At 36.3% G+C, this 17,422-nt stretch overlaps 1 protein-coding gene across 1 annotated transcript in view; it reads left to right on the forward strand.

The window, feature by feature from the left end:
* The window catches only part of SYTL5 (synaptotagmin like 5), a 239,906-nt gene continuing 231,531 nt past the window's right edge, over window positions 9,048-17,422 (forward strand). The window contains exon 1 of the mRNA XM_017029972.1: window positions 9,048-9,291. The gene's annotated coding sequence lies outside the window, so the exon portion shown is untranslated. The remainder of the gene's footprint in view (window positions 9,292-17,422) is intronic.

A 17,422-nucleotide genomic window follows, 5' to 3' on the forward strand; every position in this document is an offset into this window, starting at 1 on the left:
AATAAAGTGTTTTAAATTACAGTACATGCATTGTTTTTTAAAGACATGGCACCATTGAACACTCACTAGACTACAATGTAGTGTAAACATAACTTTTATGTGAGCTGGGAAACAAACTTATTTGTATGACTCACTTTATTGTGATAACCATTTTATTGCAGTTGTCTGGAATTGAACATGCAATATTTTTGAGATATGCTTGTATCTAGGCTATTGAGGTTATTTGCATCTATATCATCTATATGATGGGAATACTATCTAATGATGTGGAAATCTCTTCCCAACTTTGCATTGTAGCTTGAAATTACACATGATGGGAATATTTACACCACAGAGATCAACACTTGCTACAAATTAGCTCCCACTTCCCCAGCTGAAAAGCTAGTTGTTAAACATTTAACAGCACGCCATTGTTTCCATTATATCTCTTTGACTAGAATTTACCCACATGGCCGCACCTATCTGCAAAGGAGGCTAGGATATGTAGACTCAAGCTGAGTGGCCATCTAAAATTTGGGAATTCTGTCAGCAGGAAGAGAGAGAGAATATATGTTGGCGGATGATTAGCACTCATATTTTAATGTAGAAGAGCAAGATCCGGATAAGTTTCTATACCTGGGATCCACTCTTGTCACTAGTTCGTCTTTCTGGGGAGGGCAGGTATCTAGTCAGCCATCTTGAACCAAAATTTTGTCATAGGTTCATTAGCAGAGATTATAATAAACTCAAGATAGAGATTTTAGTACCTGTCTAGTCCATTATCACAGGGTTAGTGAAAATTCAAGATTTCAATTTATGATAGTAGATTAATCCCATGAAGCAAGCTTTTTTGTCTTATGCCCAGTTTCTAGAAAATGTAAAAAATAATTATAAATATATAAATAAATCTATAAACATGCTGGCAAACAGGAAAATGAGCCCATTGTAACCCAGAAACTATGAAGAATCACTGAGGGGAAGAAAGGTGAGATAGGATTCAATTACGTACCTAAAACCCAAAATGTGCCTAGGTGAATGCGAGCTTTGAAAAGTGGGAGCCACACACAGAGAGCTCCATACCTGGCTCTGCTTTCAGGAAGATTCAGATGAAGACATTGGATATATACAAGTATAAAAGGAAGTCCGTACTTTTGATTTGCTAAGGAACTGGAATATGGGGGTACCTAGCCCCGGGCTCCTCCTTCCTTCCTTAGTGAAGTTCCTATAAAGGTTCATCTTGTTTTAAACTTTTAAGCCTGTGAGTATTTTCTTTTCAAACGATATAGCAAGCTCTACAATTTAGTGCTCAATAGAAGCTCCTAGGTTAGAAGAGATATGACCGGTGACTGAATGCAATGTTTGTGTGTTTGTTTACAAAGCAAACATCCACACAAGCTGTTTGCTTTTTCTACATTAAAGTATAATAAGGATATTTGGACCACATAATATGGTCAGAGACTTGTCTTATGCATATATGACTTATGTTAAATGAGCATTATACCCAAATATTTTATCTTTCAAAATCACGTTAGAACTGAGAACAAAAATCCAGGAGTAAAACTATTAATATTCCCAGGATGATGGATGTTGAAGTACATACTTCTTCCTCACCAAAAAAAAAAAAAAAAAAAGGCGAGTATCTATTTTTAGCAGTATTTTCCCTCAGGAGATCAGAAAAGCCATTACAGAGTTATGGATGAATTCTTGGTTCAATAATAAGAATGACTAATGCTTCTACGGATTTAACAGAGCTGGAAAAGGCTCTTCAGATAAACAACATTTTAGAATGTTGGAAATTTGCATTTTGGAAGGAAGGAAAATGAAATTATAATTTTATTTTTAAATGATTTATCTGTTTCTCATTTTTGGATCATTAGACACATATCTTGAAATAATAGTAATTCAGCACTTACTATAAGTAAAGTGCCACTAAGCCCTAAAATAAACACAATGATGCCCTCAAGGGGCTTGCAATTTAGAGAGAAATAAGAAAAAGATATCTTAGCTCAACTTTTTAAAAAAATGTTGAGGCCAAGTACATATTGACTGTTTCATCTTTAAAGCAGGTTCTGTCTTTCTCAACAAGTTGGGAATGCCCATGCTGTGAGATTTGTAATATTAGGTAAGATATCTGTAATTCCTCAATTTATTCACTAGTTAGAATATAGCCTGTGTATCTTAGTTTAGAGAGGAATATAAATCCTTTATAACAAGTCCACCTTTACCCTAAAGGGGATGAATTAGGAGAAGAGGAAGAGAGGACAGGACTGAGCTGATAAATTTTCACAAGTGCCTTGAAAGTCTGTTTTTAGCTATAACGATAATTGATTTTAGTAATGTGTACACATTCCCAGCATTTTGCCCTTTTTCACCTTTTGAGAATCCTTGGTTGTTGGATTACTGATGCTAGGTTATTAAGTGAAGAGAATTAGAGAAAGTGAAAACACTAAGTTGATTTACATATGAAAGGGTATAGAGTTACTCCCAGAATAGAAAAATCTAGAAAGGCTGGAGATCTATGTGAGAGAGTCATCTGGGAGATTAATGAGAGAAAGGAGAAAGATTGAGAGATGCTACCATAAATGAATGGGCAGAGTGATACCTAAAAGCGTAATTTCTAGAAGCTTTGCTCCCTGTTGAAGTATAGATCTTCTTTACTGCTCTGTGAAAGACTTTAGGATATTCTGTAATTCCTTGGTATCTGAGAGGGATTGATTGGTTGTGTTACTGGAAAGAGGTCCCAATCCAGACTTCAGGAGAGGGTTTTGGATCTTATGCAAGAAAGAATTCAGGGTGAGTCCACAGAGTAAAGTGAAAGAAAGTTTACTAAGAAAGTAAAGGAAGGCTGAGCGCAATGGCTCACACCTGTAATCCCAGCACTTTGGGAGGCCAAGGCAGGCAGATCACTTGAGGTCAGGAGTTCAAGACCAGCCTGGCCAACATGGTGAAACCCCGTCACTACTAAAAATACAAAAATTAGCCGGGCTTGGTGGCATGCACGCCTGTAATCCCAGCTACTTGGGAGGCTGAGGCATGAGAATCGCTTGAACCCAGGAGGCGGAGGCTGCAGTGAGCCGAGATCATGCCACTGGACTGCAACCTGGGCAACAGAACAAGACTCCATCAAAAACAAAAAGAAAAAAAGAAAGAAAATAAAGGGATAAAAGAATGGCTAGTCCATAGATGGAGCAGGGCGTTCCCAAAAGCAAGAGGAGGAAAATGCCCACGTTAGGTACAATGCTTGATTATATATAAGATAAAGCAAAAAATCATGGGGGAGATGTGCTGTACTACAAGGGCTTGTAACAAAGGTTTGTTAATGTTTATGTAAATACTGTCTTCTGCAAGAATATATATTATTATCTTTAAAGTTAAACTTAAACTAAGAATGCTTTTGTTTTTAAGATATCAGGACATCAGAACATTTCCTGGGTCTGATATTTCCTAGGTCTATTAAATCCTGGCTCTATTCAGTAAACAATATTAACTTTTTTCCTTAACTGTAAACATCCTGTGACTAAGAATGCCTAACCTCCTGGGAATGCAGCCCAGCAGGTCTCAACCTCATTTTACCCGGCCTCTATTCAAGATGGGCTCCTCTGGTTCAAACACCTCTGACGTATTTCCCCCCTTCCTTTTACAAGGGGACCCTTCATTCTAAGGAGCTTTTTTTCAGGCTGAATAGAGGCAATGATATTCCTGCCTTAACTATTAGGATCTCTTGTATTCATGGTAGAGAGGAATTCAGTCAGAAAGTATCAGTATGGTGAGGGCCATTTATATAACTCTGGGTCCCAACAAAAAGTGATATTTATTTCTCTTGTTTCTTCGGAGTAGCAGCCAGAGATCACTGGTTGGTTCACAGGAATAAGCAGGGTCAGTCTAAATTCCAGAAAAAACTCAAATACAATGGATCTAAAAACAAGTGTTCCATAGTTATTTAAAAATATATTCTTTTTCTCTCCAGTCCCAATTTTTATTAAAAACAAATCATGGTAAGATTGATTTGTTTGCAAAATAAGCTTTAGTATTATTATATTCAGCCTGATTATTTGCATAAAGTGCAACAAGAATGATTATTTGCCATGTAGGCTCTTTTTAAAAATTGGCTTTATTGGAATCTCAGGTTAAACTTTTTAAAGCCTTGAGCCCAGCCATGGGTTTATCTGTTCCTGAACATACCTGTACAAGTTGGGTGAATTCCTCTCCTTTCAAAGTCCCAAGATAACTTGGGCCTCCTGGGCCTGTCAGGGACCTGTACAGGGACTGTGTAGAAAAGGTATGATGCCAGTTTTCCCAAGGGGCTTTTATCAGCCTATGAGTCAAATTTGATTCCTTAAAGCAGTCTATTTATATCTGAAAGCACACCATTCCAGTCAAAGCCTTGGTAAAATAACAAGTGTCTCCAATTGTGTCCTGTTATAAAAGAAAACAGATTCTTATTGCAATTCTTATGCAAATAACTATATTGCCATAAATTAACAATGCTCACAGATAGTTTCTAAATTCTGGAGAAATTTGGTAGAGAGAAAGAAATATGCTCCAAATTTTGTTTATAGAAGTGTGCTTTACTCAATTGTTAAAAGCTGTAAATAGCTCAAAAGAAAAGTCTCCTTGATTCTGAAATGAACCAGAAAGTTTGTCAAATATCAAAGGTTTAAAACACTTGATATTATAAAATAGAATCTCAGGTCACCATAAGTCATTTATTAGCCAAAATGATAAAGATTTTAAAAACGCAAAAACCTTTACTTACTGATAAAGGGAAGACTTAGCTTTCCAAACAATCTTTCTTTTTTTCTCTCTTCTTTTAACAACAATTTTTCATTATCTCTTAATATTACATGAAAATCTTGTTCAAGAGAGAAAGCCAAATTTCAACTTTGTATTAGTGTACTATTAATGTCAAACCTAATTCTTAATAAAACCTTATAGACAAATCTATCCAATCTTAATCTGTTTGACAATAAGGTAATATTTTCAGAAAACTTTCATAACCCTTTACAATGTTCTGCAAAAAAGCACATCAGTGTGCTAAGAAAACCCTGCTGTGCTTTTATTCCAATGTTCAAGTTATGGGGAAACTAAATAATATCCCTTTAGCTTTAGCCAATATGTTCACACACAGAATTTCTTTTACAAGATTAACCTTTCAAAAACGTTCCACAACATACTCAAACCTTTGGCTTTTTCCTATTTAAATTAAAACAATCCTTTAACCCTCTAAGCTAGGCAAAAATCATGCTCCCGTGCCTTCTTATACTCTTTTACCAAAAACACATTCTACTTTCCTTATAAACATTGCACATGAAACTGTTTCACCAGTAGTCTCAATTACATATGTTACAATGTTAACTTTTAGCAACTTTTATTTTTGGTAAAAAAAAAATCCTGGTAAGTAGGTGATTTTAATTATGTATCAAGTGTGGAGCTTAGGACACCAGACAGAAGTGCAGATAAGGTTTGATTCTTTCCAGCATAGCAAGGGGGCATGGCTAACTCTACATGTCCCAAGGCCTTACCTAGAATCTAATGGCTCTAAAGCAGGTAAGTTGAACAATTATCAAAAGTCAAAGAACCAGACTGTGTAGTTTAGTAAACACAGTATCCGAGCGGCCTAATTTAGATTTTCAAAACATTTTTATGTTACCAATAATCTTTAAAATTATCTTTATTTCCCAAAGATTACTAAAGCCATGTGAACTAAAAGGCATTAAAGTTTCTTTTTTCTGGAAAGATATTTAAATGCTTATTACTTTTAAGCCAATTAATCAGAGCTTTCATTTATTTTGGTAGCAAGATATCAGACACATACAACACATAAATACACAGATGGACAGGCAGGGCAGATTTGATAGTTAAAGATTTTTCATTTGCTAGATTTTAAGTTTTTCTTTCACATTTTTATGCCAAATTCTGGGTCATTAAAAAGAGGGAAATGCTATAGGACCAGACAGTGCAATGCTTTTACCACAAATTTTACTGCAAGGACATTTCCCTGAAGCTGATGGGCAATCCAAAACCAATCAGCCCATCTCCTGTGAGAGTTTTAAATTTTGAGGGAGGGGGTGGTGGTGGACATTTTCATATTTTGCAGGTGGCTAAAACCATGCTTCTCTGATTCAAACATGCAAGTAGTGGACTATTTCTCCCCCATAACTGCCATTAGCCATCCCCAAAAGTGTATTTCTTATCTAGTTATTACAAGCCAAGGTTAAAAGCTCTTTAATAATGCAAAGTAATTTTTGATATCCCCAAAAGTCAAAAAGTCAGGTAATGCAGTGCAAAATGGAGGACAGCCTTAGATTTTTACAGGGATCTATTCACTTACAATTCCTGGGGCTTTATGAGGAAAACAGAGGTTTCTCTCAAAAAAGGGTCTGTGGTGCCTTATCTGTATTTTTCCAAGGAGTGCCAGGCTGTCAAAAATCATTTTAGGCCCTTTCATTTGGGCATTGAGGGCAAGAAAACAGACTGGGGAAATAATTCAGTCAATTGATGAGAACAAAACAAAAAACATTTTATCAAACAAACAAGACCCAAGAAGAGAAAAAGCATAAAGGTCTTTTAAGTAAGTTTACAGATAGGTCGTATGCTTTTAATTAAGCTGATTTTTAGCCAAATCTCTTTTAACAGACTCTAGCCAGGACAAACAGCCAATATTTCTGGGTTTTGAATTTTACCAAAGGTAACCTCCCAGGTGAAACCAGTAAGCCTTAACTAAGGGTATGACTTAACCATGAACACACAAGGTGTCTTCAAAGAAATGGCAAGCAGTTTTACAAGTTTTAGAGTATCCAAAGTATCAGAGAAAAGAAAATTTGAGACAGGAAGTCAGAAGTTGTTCATGGAGGGGTAAATAATCAGTAAATGGCAAAGGTCACACAAACATAAAACCAGAAGGGACTCATTACCTAAGCTGGGAATTGAACATGAGCTACCATTGTAAAGAGATAAAGCCTTAGCTACTGGGCTATAGCATGGAGCAGTCTCAGGTGCTCTTCCCAGAAGGAGCCTAGAGCAGCCAATTTTGAGTTTTCAAATGCTTTTAACTACTCATGATAATTTTTAGGGCTAACTATGACATGAACCTCAAAATTCCCACACCCCAGATGGTGGATACCAAGAGAAAGTACCCCCAAATGGTCACAAGGTTAAGCTCCCAAGGACATAAAACAAGACAAGGGGTAAACCTCATCTAGTTCTTGCTTCAGGTATCTGTAGCAAACTTTATACCTGACCAGTTTGTTAAGCCAGCTTGAATAGTGGGCTTAAAGGGGTCCTAGGCCCACATTTTATTCTATGGTACCCCTTTTTATGACAGAATGACACAGAAAGGCAAATTCATAGCACAAAATACACTCGATTCACTATAGCCTAAGACTAGCCTCACAAATCCTTTTTCCAGTTAATCAAAACCTTGCAGAGGAGACAAATAGTGATTTTTACCGTTTATTCAACTGGTTTACACAGAAAGAGAGAGACCAGAATCCTGACTGCTAAGAAATTCTTACTCTTTTGCTGGCATGCCAGGTTTCTGGACTTCCTTTCTCTGGGTGGTTTGATGGCCCTGCTTACTGTGCCATAGCTTTGTGGGCCAAGACACATTACAAAAGAAAATCATGTTTTTCCAACTTTGCAAGATGCTGCCCAATGAGCTGCATGTGGGAGCCAAATTAACATTTTGCACTCTGGCTGGGGCAAAGTACATGTGACAAAACATAGACTTTAGCCATCCCACTCAGCACCTAATATCAACCTGGCATGGCTCAAATTTGCCCTCATTGGCCCTTGTTGTCTTTGATCCACTCAAAGTGGGGTGGAATGTTGAAACCAGGAGTTTCAACACAGGGTCTCTAGGCAAGATGGAAGAACAGACAGTCGCCCTGAGTGATAGAAAAGATAGGAAAGGGAAAAGAGAGAAAGATAACAAGAAAAACATTGCTTACAGCAGAGTGGGGGAAAGTGAGGAGCTCAGGGAAACCAGAAAAAGACTCACCCATTGCGGCGACACTGAATCAAAAGTTCAGGCGGTTGCTTGTCAGTCACGAAGGGATCTTTAGCATCAATCCTATTAGCTCTCAAGTTTCCCACTTTGGGGGAGAAAGAAAAGTTCCCCATGTCCCATAATTTTGCACGTGCCTAATCCTGTCACCCACAACCATGAGATACCAAATTTCAATAGACAATCTTAGGGATTGAGCTTTAAAATGAAACTAAATTCTTCAGTGCCTTTTTGTCCCCAGTGTTTCTCAGCTTTGTGACGGAGCCAACAAGCAAACAGATGGAAATCAGGTGGTGCATGGGGTAAGGGAAAGTTAAAATTCCCAGAACCAATTAAGCGAGGTCTCCTGAAAGTGGCAGTGAGCCACCGCACCAGGCCACACTGGAGTAGATTTTGAAGTCTGAAACCTAGAACTTGTCAAATAAACCGCCCTAATAAAAACACCCCTGTCAACAAAGGGCAGTTCTAAGGCTTGAAGTCAGATCTGACCCTCGAAGTTGACACTCCAGCCTCTTTGACTCTCAGGTCTTTGAAAGAAAAGGGAAAGGTCCATCATGACTTTATTCCAGAGTGAATTTCTTTAGTTTTCAGAAGCCACTTTACCATAAATAGATGTGCCTTGGGGGCCGGGCACAGTGGCTCACGCTTGTAATCCCAGCACTTTGGGAGGCCGAGGCGGGCAGATCACGAGGTCAGGAAATCGAGACCATCCTGGCTAACACGAAGAAACCCCATCTCTACTAAAAATACAAAAAATTAGCCGGGTGTGGTGGCGGGCGTCTGTAGTCCCAGCTACTTGGGAGGCTGAGGCAAGAGAACGGCGTGAACCCGGGAGGCGGAGCTTGCAGTGAGCCGAGATAGCGCCACTGCACTCCAGCCTGGGTGACAGAGCGAGACTCCATCTCAAAATAAATAAATAAAATAAAATAATTAGCCAGGCGAGGTGGCGGGCACCTGTAGTCCCAGCTACTCGGGAGGCTGAGGCAGGAGAATGGCGTGAACCCGGGAGGCGCAGCTTGCGGTGAGCCGAGATTGCGCCACTGCACTCCAGCCTGGGCAACAGAGTGAGACTCTGTCTCAAAAAAAAAAAAAAAAAAGATATGACTTGGGAAGTGAAATTCTCTAATCTGAAACTTTATTGCAAAAATTGTGGGCATCTAGGAGAACTGGAGTTGTGAGCAGGTCAGAAGAGAAACTTTGCTGCTTCCTTTGTCAATGCTGTATGGAGAGAAATTTGAGATGCTTTGGATATTAAAAGAAAGACTGGAAGGCAGAAGATACTGAATTAACCACACCAATGAAGAGCGGTAAGCAGACCATGCGAGTAGCAAGACTATTTCTGCAGAGTTCATAACAGGAGCTGTAAGTGACCCAGAGAATACTCACTGTGGAAAGTTGAGATATCATTAGGCTCTATGAGACTTCAGGTTGTAGCATTTTACTTGTTGCAAATTATGTAGTGGAATTATACTTCTTTATCATAAAAATCTCTTGCGTCGTGGTGTGGCCAGGGCTCTTTCATATATGGGAGTTGGTATCAGTCTACTAAACAGTCCAGTGGAGACAGCTCTTTTTGTTTCCTATTGAAGTCTCATACTAAAAAATAAAAGCTGACTATTTTACTACAAATATCATTAATCCTAAAGATAGTTTTAGATGGTACACAGGTTTTAATGTTTTTACAATAAGGTCATATGAAGCCAAAATAACTCCTGGATGTGGGATGGGCTTGAGTGGGGGGGATAATCATACAAAGAGTTTTTATTAGATACATTGAAAAGCAAAGTAAAATTTACCTAATAATAGCCCACCCAGTGGAAAATAATTGCTTTAACTTCTCTTGGATATTTTAATCTCAATTCTGACAAAATGAAGGCCTCTTGGCAATTTAACAGTTCTTTGGCTTTTAGCTGAAAGAAAATAAAAAAAAAAAGGAAGTGCCACTAATGCTTGAGATAAATACTAAGTCTTACAGGACTGGAGTTAAGTTGTTTTCCAAACAGATAAAAACATATCACAATTATGCTTCATTTAGGTTTTATTCCCTGCATTATTTTATCTTCATTGTGTCATACTAATGTGGCAGACCAGGACTCACTAACACAGGCCTCCATAACAACTGTTTCAGCACTGACTGAGTGGTAAAGTTAAATATTAAAAGCTGATAGAGCCAGTGCCCTTATACAAAGGCTGGAAGGTAACAAAAGCCCACCAAGAGTTTTGCCCAGGCCTTTCCTGGGCCCTGAAGCATGGCAAGATAACGAAGGAATTCTTAACAGGACCTTTTTAGGATTAAAAAATTTTATTGGGGGTCTGAAGAAACTCCCCAGGCCTCCACAAGCAAGCTTTATTGGGGACTAAAGGAACTCCCCAAACCTCCATGACCTACCAGGAGACAAGATAAAGGTAATCACTCCAGCACCAGGACCCATTTAGATTAAGTACATTTACTGAGGCTTCAGAGGAAGGTCTTCAGGACTCAGATCTTAGTTATAGATTAAAAGAAGTTAATCACTTCTGTCTTTAGATGAATGCACACTTACATCTAGACATATAGCTTAGAAGGTATATAAGCTCTGAAAAACATTGTAATTTTGGATTGGTCTGGCAATAATATCCAGGCCTTCTCCCTGTAACTGGTTACAGAAATAAAAACTCCCTTCTCTCCTAGTTCATCTGCATCTCATTATTGGGCCGCAAGGATCAGCAGCCCGACCCTTGGTTTGGTCCGGGAACACTAATACCTAATATTCCCAAATGTATGTTGGCCTTGCCACTGTGAAGGAAAATTAAATGGGAGTCACATGTCCTCTTATGTTTTGCATTTGTGTTTTGCTCTGCGTAAAAATCATGCAAACACACTCCAGTTGAAAATGGATACAGAATCGAAATAGACATTTCTCTGAAAAAGACATATAAATGGCCAATAAGCACACGAAAAGATGCTCAACATAACCAATTATTAGGAAAATGCAAATCAACGTAACAGCTGAGAGACCAACCTACTAGGATGGCTATAATAATAATTTTAAAAAACAGGCTAGGTGTGGTGGCCTATATCTGTAATCCCAGTACTTTGGGAGGCCAAGACAGGAGGATCACTTGAAACCAGGAATTCAAGACCAGCTGGGCAACAAAGCAAGACCTGTCTCTACAAAATAATAAAATAAAAATGTAAAAAGTAGATAATAATGAATGTTGATGAGGAGGTGGAGAAATGGGAGCCTTATAGTTTAAACATAGAGTACCATATGATCCATCAATTTCACTCCTCAGTATATATCCAAGAAAAATGAAAACAAATGTCCACACAAAAGCTGATACATGAATGTTCATAGGAGCATTATTCAAAATAGTCAAAAAGTGGAAACAACCAAAATGTCCATCAATTCATTAATGTATAAATAAAATGTGCAATGTCCATACAATGAAATATTACTCAACAAAATAAACGAACTAAGTATGGATACATGCTACAGCATATATGAACCTTGACAGCATGCTAAGTGAAGGAAGCCAATGACAAAAGATCACACATTGTTGATTCGATATATGTAAAATGTCCAGAATAGGCAACTCGGTAGAGGTAGAAAGTAGATTAGTGCTTGCCTAAGGCTGGAGGATTGGAAAAATGAGAGGTAACTGCTGATAGTTACAGGGTTTCTTTCTGGGGTGATGAAAATATTGTAAAATTGATTGTGGTGATGGCTGTACAACTCTGTGAATATACTACTATTGAATTGTACACTTTAAATGGGTGAATTGCGTGTTATGTAAATTATATCTCAATAAAGCTGATATACACACATACATACGTGTGTGTGTGTATGTGTGTATGTGAGTATGAATTATCCAAAGGATTTCATATGAGTGTTTGTGTTTTCAGGCAAATATCATAGGTATACTTATAAAGAAACAAACATGGTTCTCTTTATCTTCTGTAGGCCTCTTGGCAATGCTTTGCAACTCTCTTTTTACAATAACCTTACATTCTCTGGGCATCTCTGATAGATGTATGGAAAAGCAAATCTGGGAGCAAGGAATTCTTAGGGAAAAAAGCTTGCATCCTACTTCTGCCCCAAATTGTTCATCTCCTTGGAAAACTAGATGTGGATGAAATATGTAAAGCAACTTATTCTGTGGTTTAATTCAAAAACTATATTGAAGTTCCTTAGTTGGCTTTGCACTGAGGCAGGAACTCTGGGAAAACAAAGACACGTGAAACAGAGAGATTACTGGGTAATGGGATAACAGTGCATGAATAAATAGGTCAACTACTAACCTGAGAGATAAATGTAATACAAGCCATAGGTATACCTGGGATAAAGAAGGCTTTTAAGTAGAGCAGTAAATAATAGGCTGCCTTCTGGCTAGATAGATAACAGTAAAGGGGCATAATTTTATCCAGTGAATGTAAAGCACACGACATTGGAGCCAAACACATATTAAAGCAACTTCTCAGAAAATTGATTTCTAGTATATGTCAAAGGTTTTATTTATTTATTTATATATAATATATATAATACTTCAAGAAAGTTAAGAATAATCCTATTCAAGAAAGATTCTTTACCTTCATTTGCTATAAGTTTGAATAACACCTTTGACATATACTACATATGTGTATATGTGTATATACATATATATGTATATAGTATAGTATGTTATATATACATATATAGTATATGTATATATGTATGTTATATATACATATATTGTATATACGTATATATACCAATATTAGTATGTATGTATATAATTGTATATACATATATACATATATTAGTATATATGTATATATTAGTATATATACATATATTAGTATATATGTATATATTAGTATATATACATATATTAGTATATATGTATATATTAGTATATATACGTATATTAGTATATATGTATATAATTGTATATACAGATATACATATATTGTGTATATACATATATACAATATATGTATGTATAATATATACACATATACTATATATGTATATATAACATACCACACTCTATACTATATATGTATATATAACATACCACACTCTATACTATATATGTATATATAACATACCACACTCTATACTATATATGTATATATAACATACCACACTCTATACTATATATGTATATATAACATACCACACTCTATACTATATATGTATATATAACATACCACACTCTATACTATATATGTATATATAACATACCACACTCTATACTATATATGTATATATAACATACCACACTCTATACTATATATGTATATATAACATACCACACTCTATACTATATATGTATATATAACATACCACACTCTATACTATATATGTATATATAACATACCACACTCTATACTATATATGTATATATAACATACCACAATCTATACTATATATGTATATATAACATACCACAATCTATATATGTATATATAACATACCACACTATATACTATATATGTATATATAACATACTACACTATATACTATATAGTATATATAACATACTACACTATATAGTATATATAAGTTTGAATAAAACCTTTGACATATACTATATATAGTATATATCATCTATATATAATACATAGATTGTATATATAATCTATATATAATATATAGTTAGTATATATAATCTATAGATAATCTATAGATTGTATATATAATCTATAATCTATCTATAGATAATATATAATCTATAGATTATAGATTATATATACAATCTATATATAATCTATATATTATCTATAGATTATATATACAATCTATATATAATCTATATATATAATTATATATAATTATATATAAAATCTATATATATAATCTATAGATAAACTATAGATTATATATAATCTATAGATAAACTATAGATTATATATAATCTATAGATAAACTATAGATTATATATAATCTATAGATAAACTATAGATTATATAGAGATTAGTATATATAATCTATATATTATATAGAGATTAGTATATATAATATATAATTAAGTATGTTAATCTTAATTGCTTGATAAATTTTTAAACCTATGTAACCACAATTCACAATTCAGGTTATGGTAGAGAACATTCCCATCTCCCCAAGTTGCTCCCTTGTGCCACTTCCCAATCAGTACTACTTTATCTTACCCAGGTAACCATTTACAAGTTTTGCCTTTTCTTGAACTTCATATAAATGATATTACACTATATGTCCTCTTTTGTGCCTAGTCTTCTCTTGCCCTACAAAAAAATGTCTGTGAGCATCACCCATGCTTTTGCATGTAGCAGTAGTTCATTCCTTTCAATTACTGTGTACGTATATTTATGACTATATCACAGTTTACTTGTCTATTTACCTGTTGTTGGACATTAGAGTTGCTTCCAGTGTTTGGCTATTATAATTAAAGCATCTGTGATCCTTATTGTTTAAAGCTTTTGGCAGAACATGCACTAATTTCTTTTGGGTATATACTCAGGAGTAGAATTGTTGGGTCATTGAGTTTGTATAAATTAGCATTTGGAAATACTGCCAAACAGTTTTCCAAAGGAGTGGAAGTGTACATATTTACACTCCACCAAGCAATGCATTGGAGTGCCAGTAGAATATATTTTTTAAATAAGATGAGAGTATGGCTAGATACTACTGTTAAACTGGATAATAGAAAGAAGGTCTGGTTCTGGAATCCAAACCAAAAAATGACTGGGTGAGTCGTTAATGCATTGTGAGCATAGATTTAACTTCCCAGACAGGTCTTCTGATGGCTGATTTTATGTGTCTATTTCACTGGTCTAAGGGATAACCAGACAATTGGTAAAACTTTATTTCTGCAAGTGTATGTGAGTTTTCTGGAAGAGATTAGCAATTTGAATTGGTAGACTGAGTAGGGAAGCTTGCTCTCACCAATGTGGGTGGGCATCAGCAAATACATTGAAGGCCTGAATAGAACAAAAAGGTGGAGGAAGGGTGAATTTCCTCCCTGTTTGAGCCTGAGACATGCATTCATCTTCTCTTGCCCGATTAGTGACACTCCTGCTTGTGTCTGCATCACTACTCCCTCTTTACTGACCCCATCCCCACTTGTTTTCAGTCCTTTGGATTCTGACTGAGTTATACCACCAGCTTTCCTGGTGCTCCAGCTTGCAAAGGGCAGATCATGAGACTTCTCAGCCTCTATAATTGCGTGAGCCAATTCCTGTAATAAATCAATCTCTCTCTCTTTACCTATGTCTATGTCTACATCTATGTCTATCACCTTTGACTCTGTTTCTCTGGAGAATCCCGACAGAGCTGTAAATCTAAACATCTATTAGAAAAACGCTCAAACATTTTTATCAGAAATGCAAAATACTTCCAGGAGTGGTTGTTAATTACATCCTCAAAAAGCCCTGCTCAAAGACTTAAGTTCAAAGCTAGATATACCATTTAATAATTGTATGATCTTTGGTAAATTACTTAACTTCTTTGTGCCTTTCTTTCCTTAGCTGTAAGCTGGGGACAATAATATCTACCTCATAGGATTAGTCTAGGGTTTTAGTGTCTGGCACAGAGTAAGTGTTCGATTAGTTTTTCTTTTCCTTCCTTCCTTCCTTCCTTCCTTCCTTCCTTCCTTCCTTCCTTCCCTCCCTCCCTCCCTCCCTCTCTCTCTCTTTTTTTCTTTCTTTCTTTCTTTTTCTTTTCTTTTCTTTCTCTCTCCTCTCTCCTTCCTTCCTTCCTTCTTCTGAGGTCAAGTGTAAATTGCAAAAGAGTAATGCCATTTTGAACTCTTAAAATTATCTTAACAAACAAAATTATAGGGCAACATTGAGAAAAGTGGGATGGTGGAGGATGGTTAGGGAAAAGAAAAGAAAAAAACGTAGGAAGGCAAGACATTATGTCCCCATCCTTAAAATAATGTTCTCTCTCGGAGGTGGTTAAGTAATGTGCAGAATAGAACACCTGATATTCTAAAAATTAAACTTCATTGTCTATATCAATATTAAGCACATTAGAAAATAGACTGATTCAGCTTTAATGATATATTACAAGTGGATTTGCATTGAATTGAAGCTAGGTCCATGTGAAAGTGTATCAAAATTAAAATCTCATTTGCATATATAGCATCAGTTAGTACAAATGTTTTTTGCATGATTATGCTCCCTCTAGGAGAGGCCATTAGGTTGATTTGCATTCATTTAAATGTTCATGTGGGATGTTGATTTTGTCTGTGCAATTACTAGGGTAGTTAATACATTGTTCTATTAAAACAGCTAAAAGACTGCACAGATGCTGTAACATACAAATGTAGCAATTGATGGGTTGATTGGAAGGAAACCTTCTCACATAAACAGTCATCTTTTCTTCAGTGTGAGCAAAATAACTGAAACTGATTCTTCTACACAAATCCCTCTCAACCAGTGTTATTCTTGTGTCCTGGATTCACAAATGAATGGAGAGTCTTTTTTTCAATATGCAAAATAAATAAGTAAATTACATGGTATGCTAGAAGGTGTGGTAGCTTGCAAATATGGCCACAAATTCTTCTTATCCCTCTTTGCACATCTGTTTATCATGTTTCCTTGCAGCATGTCTTTGCAGCTCTTCTCACCAAGAATTGGAGTCTATTTTCTCAACTCATTAAATCTGAGCTGGCTGTGTGACTTGCTTTGGCCAAAAAGACTTTAGCAAATAAGATATAAGCACAAGCAGAGGTTTGAAAAGTGCTGGTTCGCTGGGGCTTACTGTATTACTGCTCTTGAAATGCTGAGATGACCATGTGAATGAATCCAAGGAAGCCTCCTGGAAGATGAGAATGCTGCATAGAAGAAAACAGAGGTCTCCAGCTGACAGCCTGCCAAACACTAGAAATGTGAATGAGGCCATTCTGGATCATCTTGTCACCAGCTGACCTCCCAGCTGACTATCAGTGCATGAGCAAACCCAGAAAAGATGAGCTGAGCCAGTCCAGTGTAGAAGAATTGCCCAGCCAACCCACAGAATAATGAGCTGAATAAAATGTTGTTTTAAGCCATTAAGTTTGTGATGTTTTATTACTCAGTAATAGCTAACTGGTACTGAATGTTATAATTACTGCAGAGAAAAATAGAGCACAGAGGGAGGAAGTAGAAGTGTATATGTGTATGCATGTGTGTAGAGGAGGGGCTGTTGAAATTTTAAATAACTTTGTCAGGGAAGGCCTTGTTGAGAAGATACATTTGAACAAACATTTGAAGGAGATTTAAGTAATTCATGTGGTTATTTAAGAGAAGAACATGGTAGGCAAAAGGAATGGCAAGTGGAAATTTCCTGAGCCATAGCATGTCTGGCTCTTTTTGAAGGAAAGCAAAGAAGTCAGAGTGCTGGAGCACTATAAAAGATGAGGGCAGAGGGCCGGGTGCGGTGGCTCATGTCCATAATCCCAGCACTTTGTGAGGCCGAGGTGGGCAGATCACAAGGTCAGGAGTTCGAGACCAGC

Source organism: Homo sapiens, chromosome X (assembly GCF_000001405.40).
Source record: "Homo sapiens chromosome X, GRCh38.p14 Primary Assembly".
NCBI lineage: Eukaryota > Metazoa > Chordata > Mammalia > Primates > Hominidae > Homo > Homo sapiens.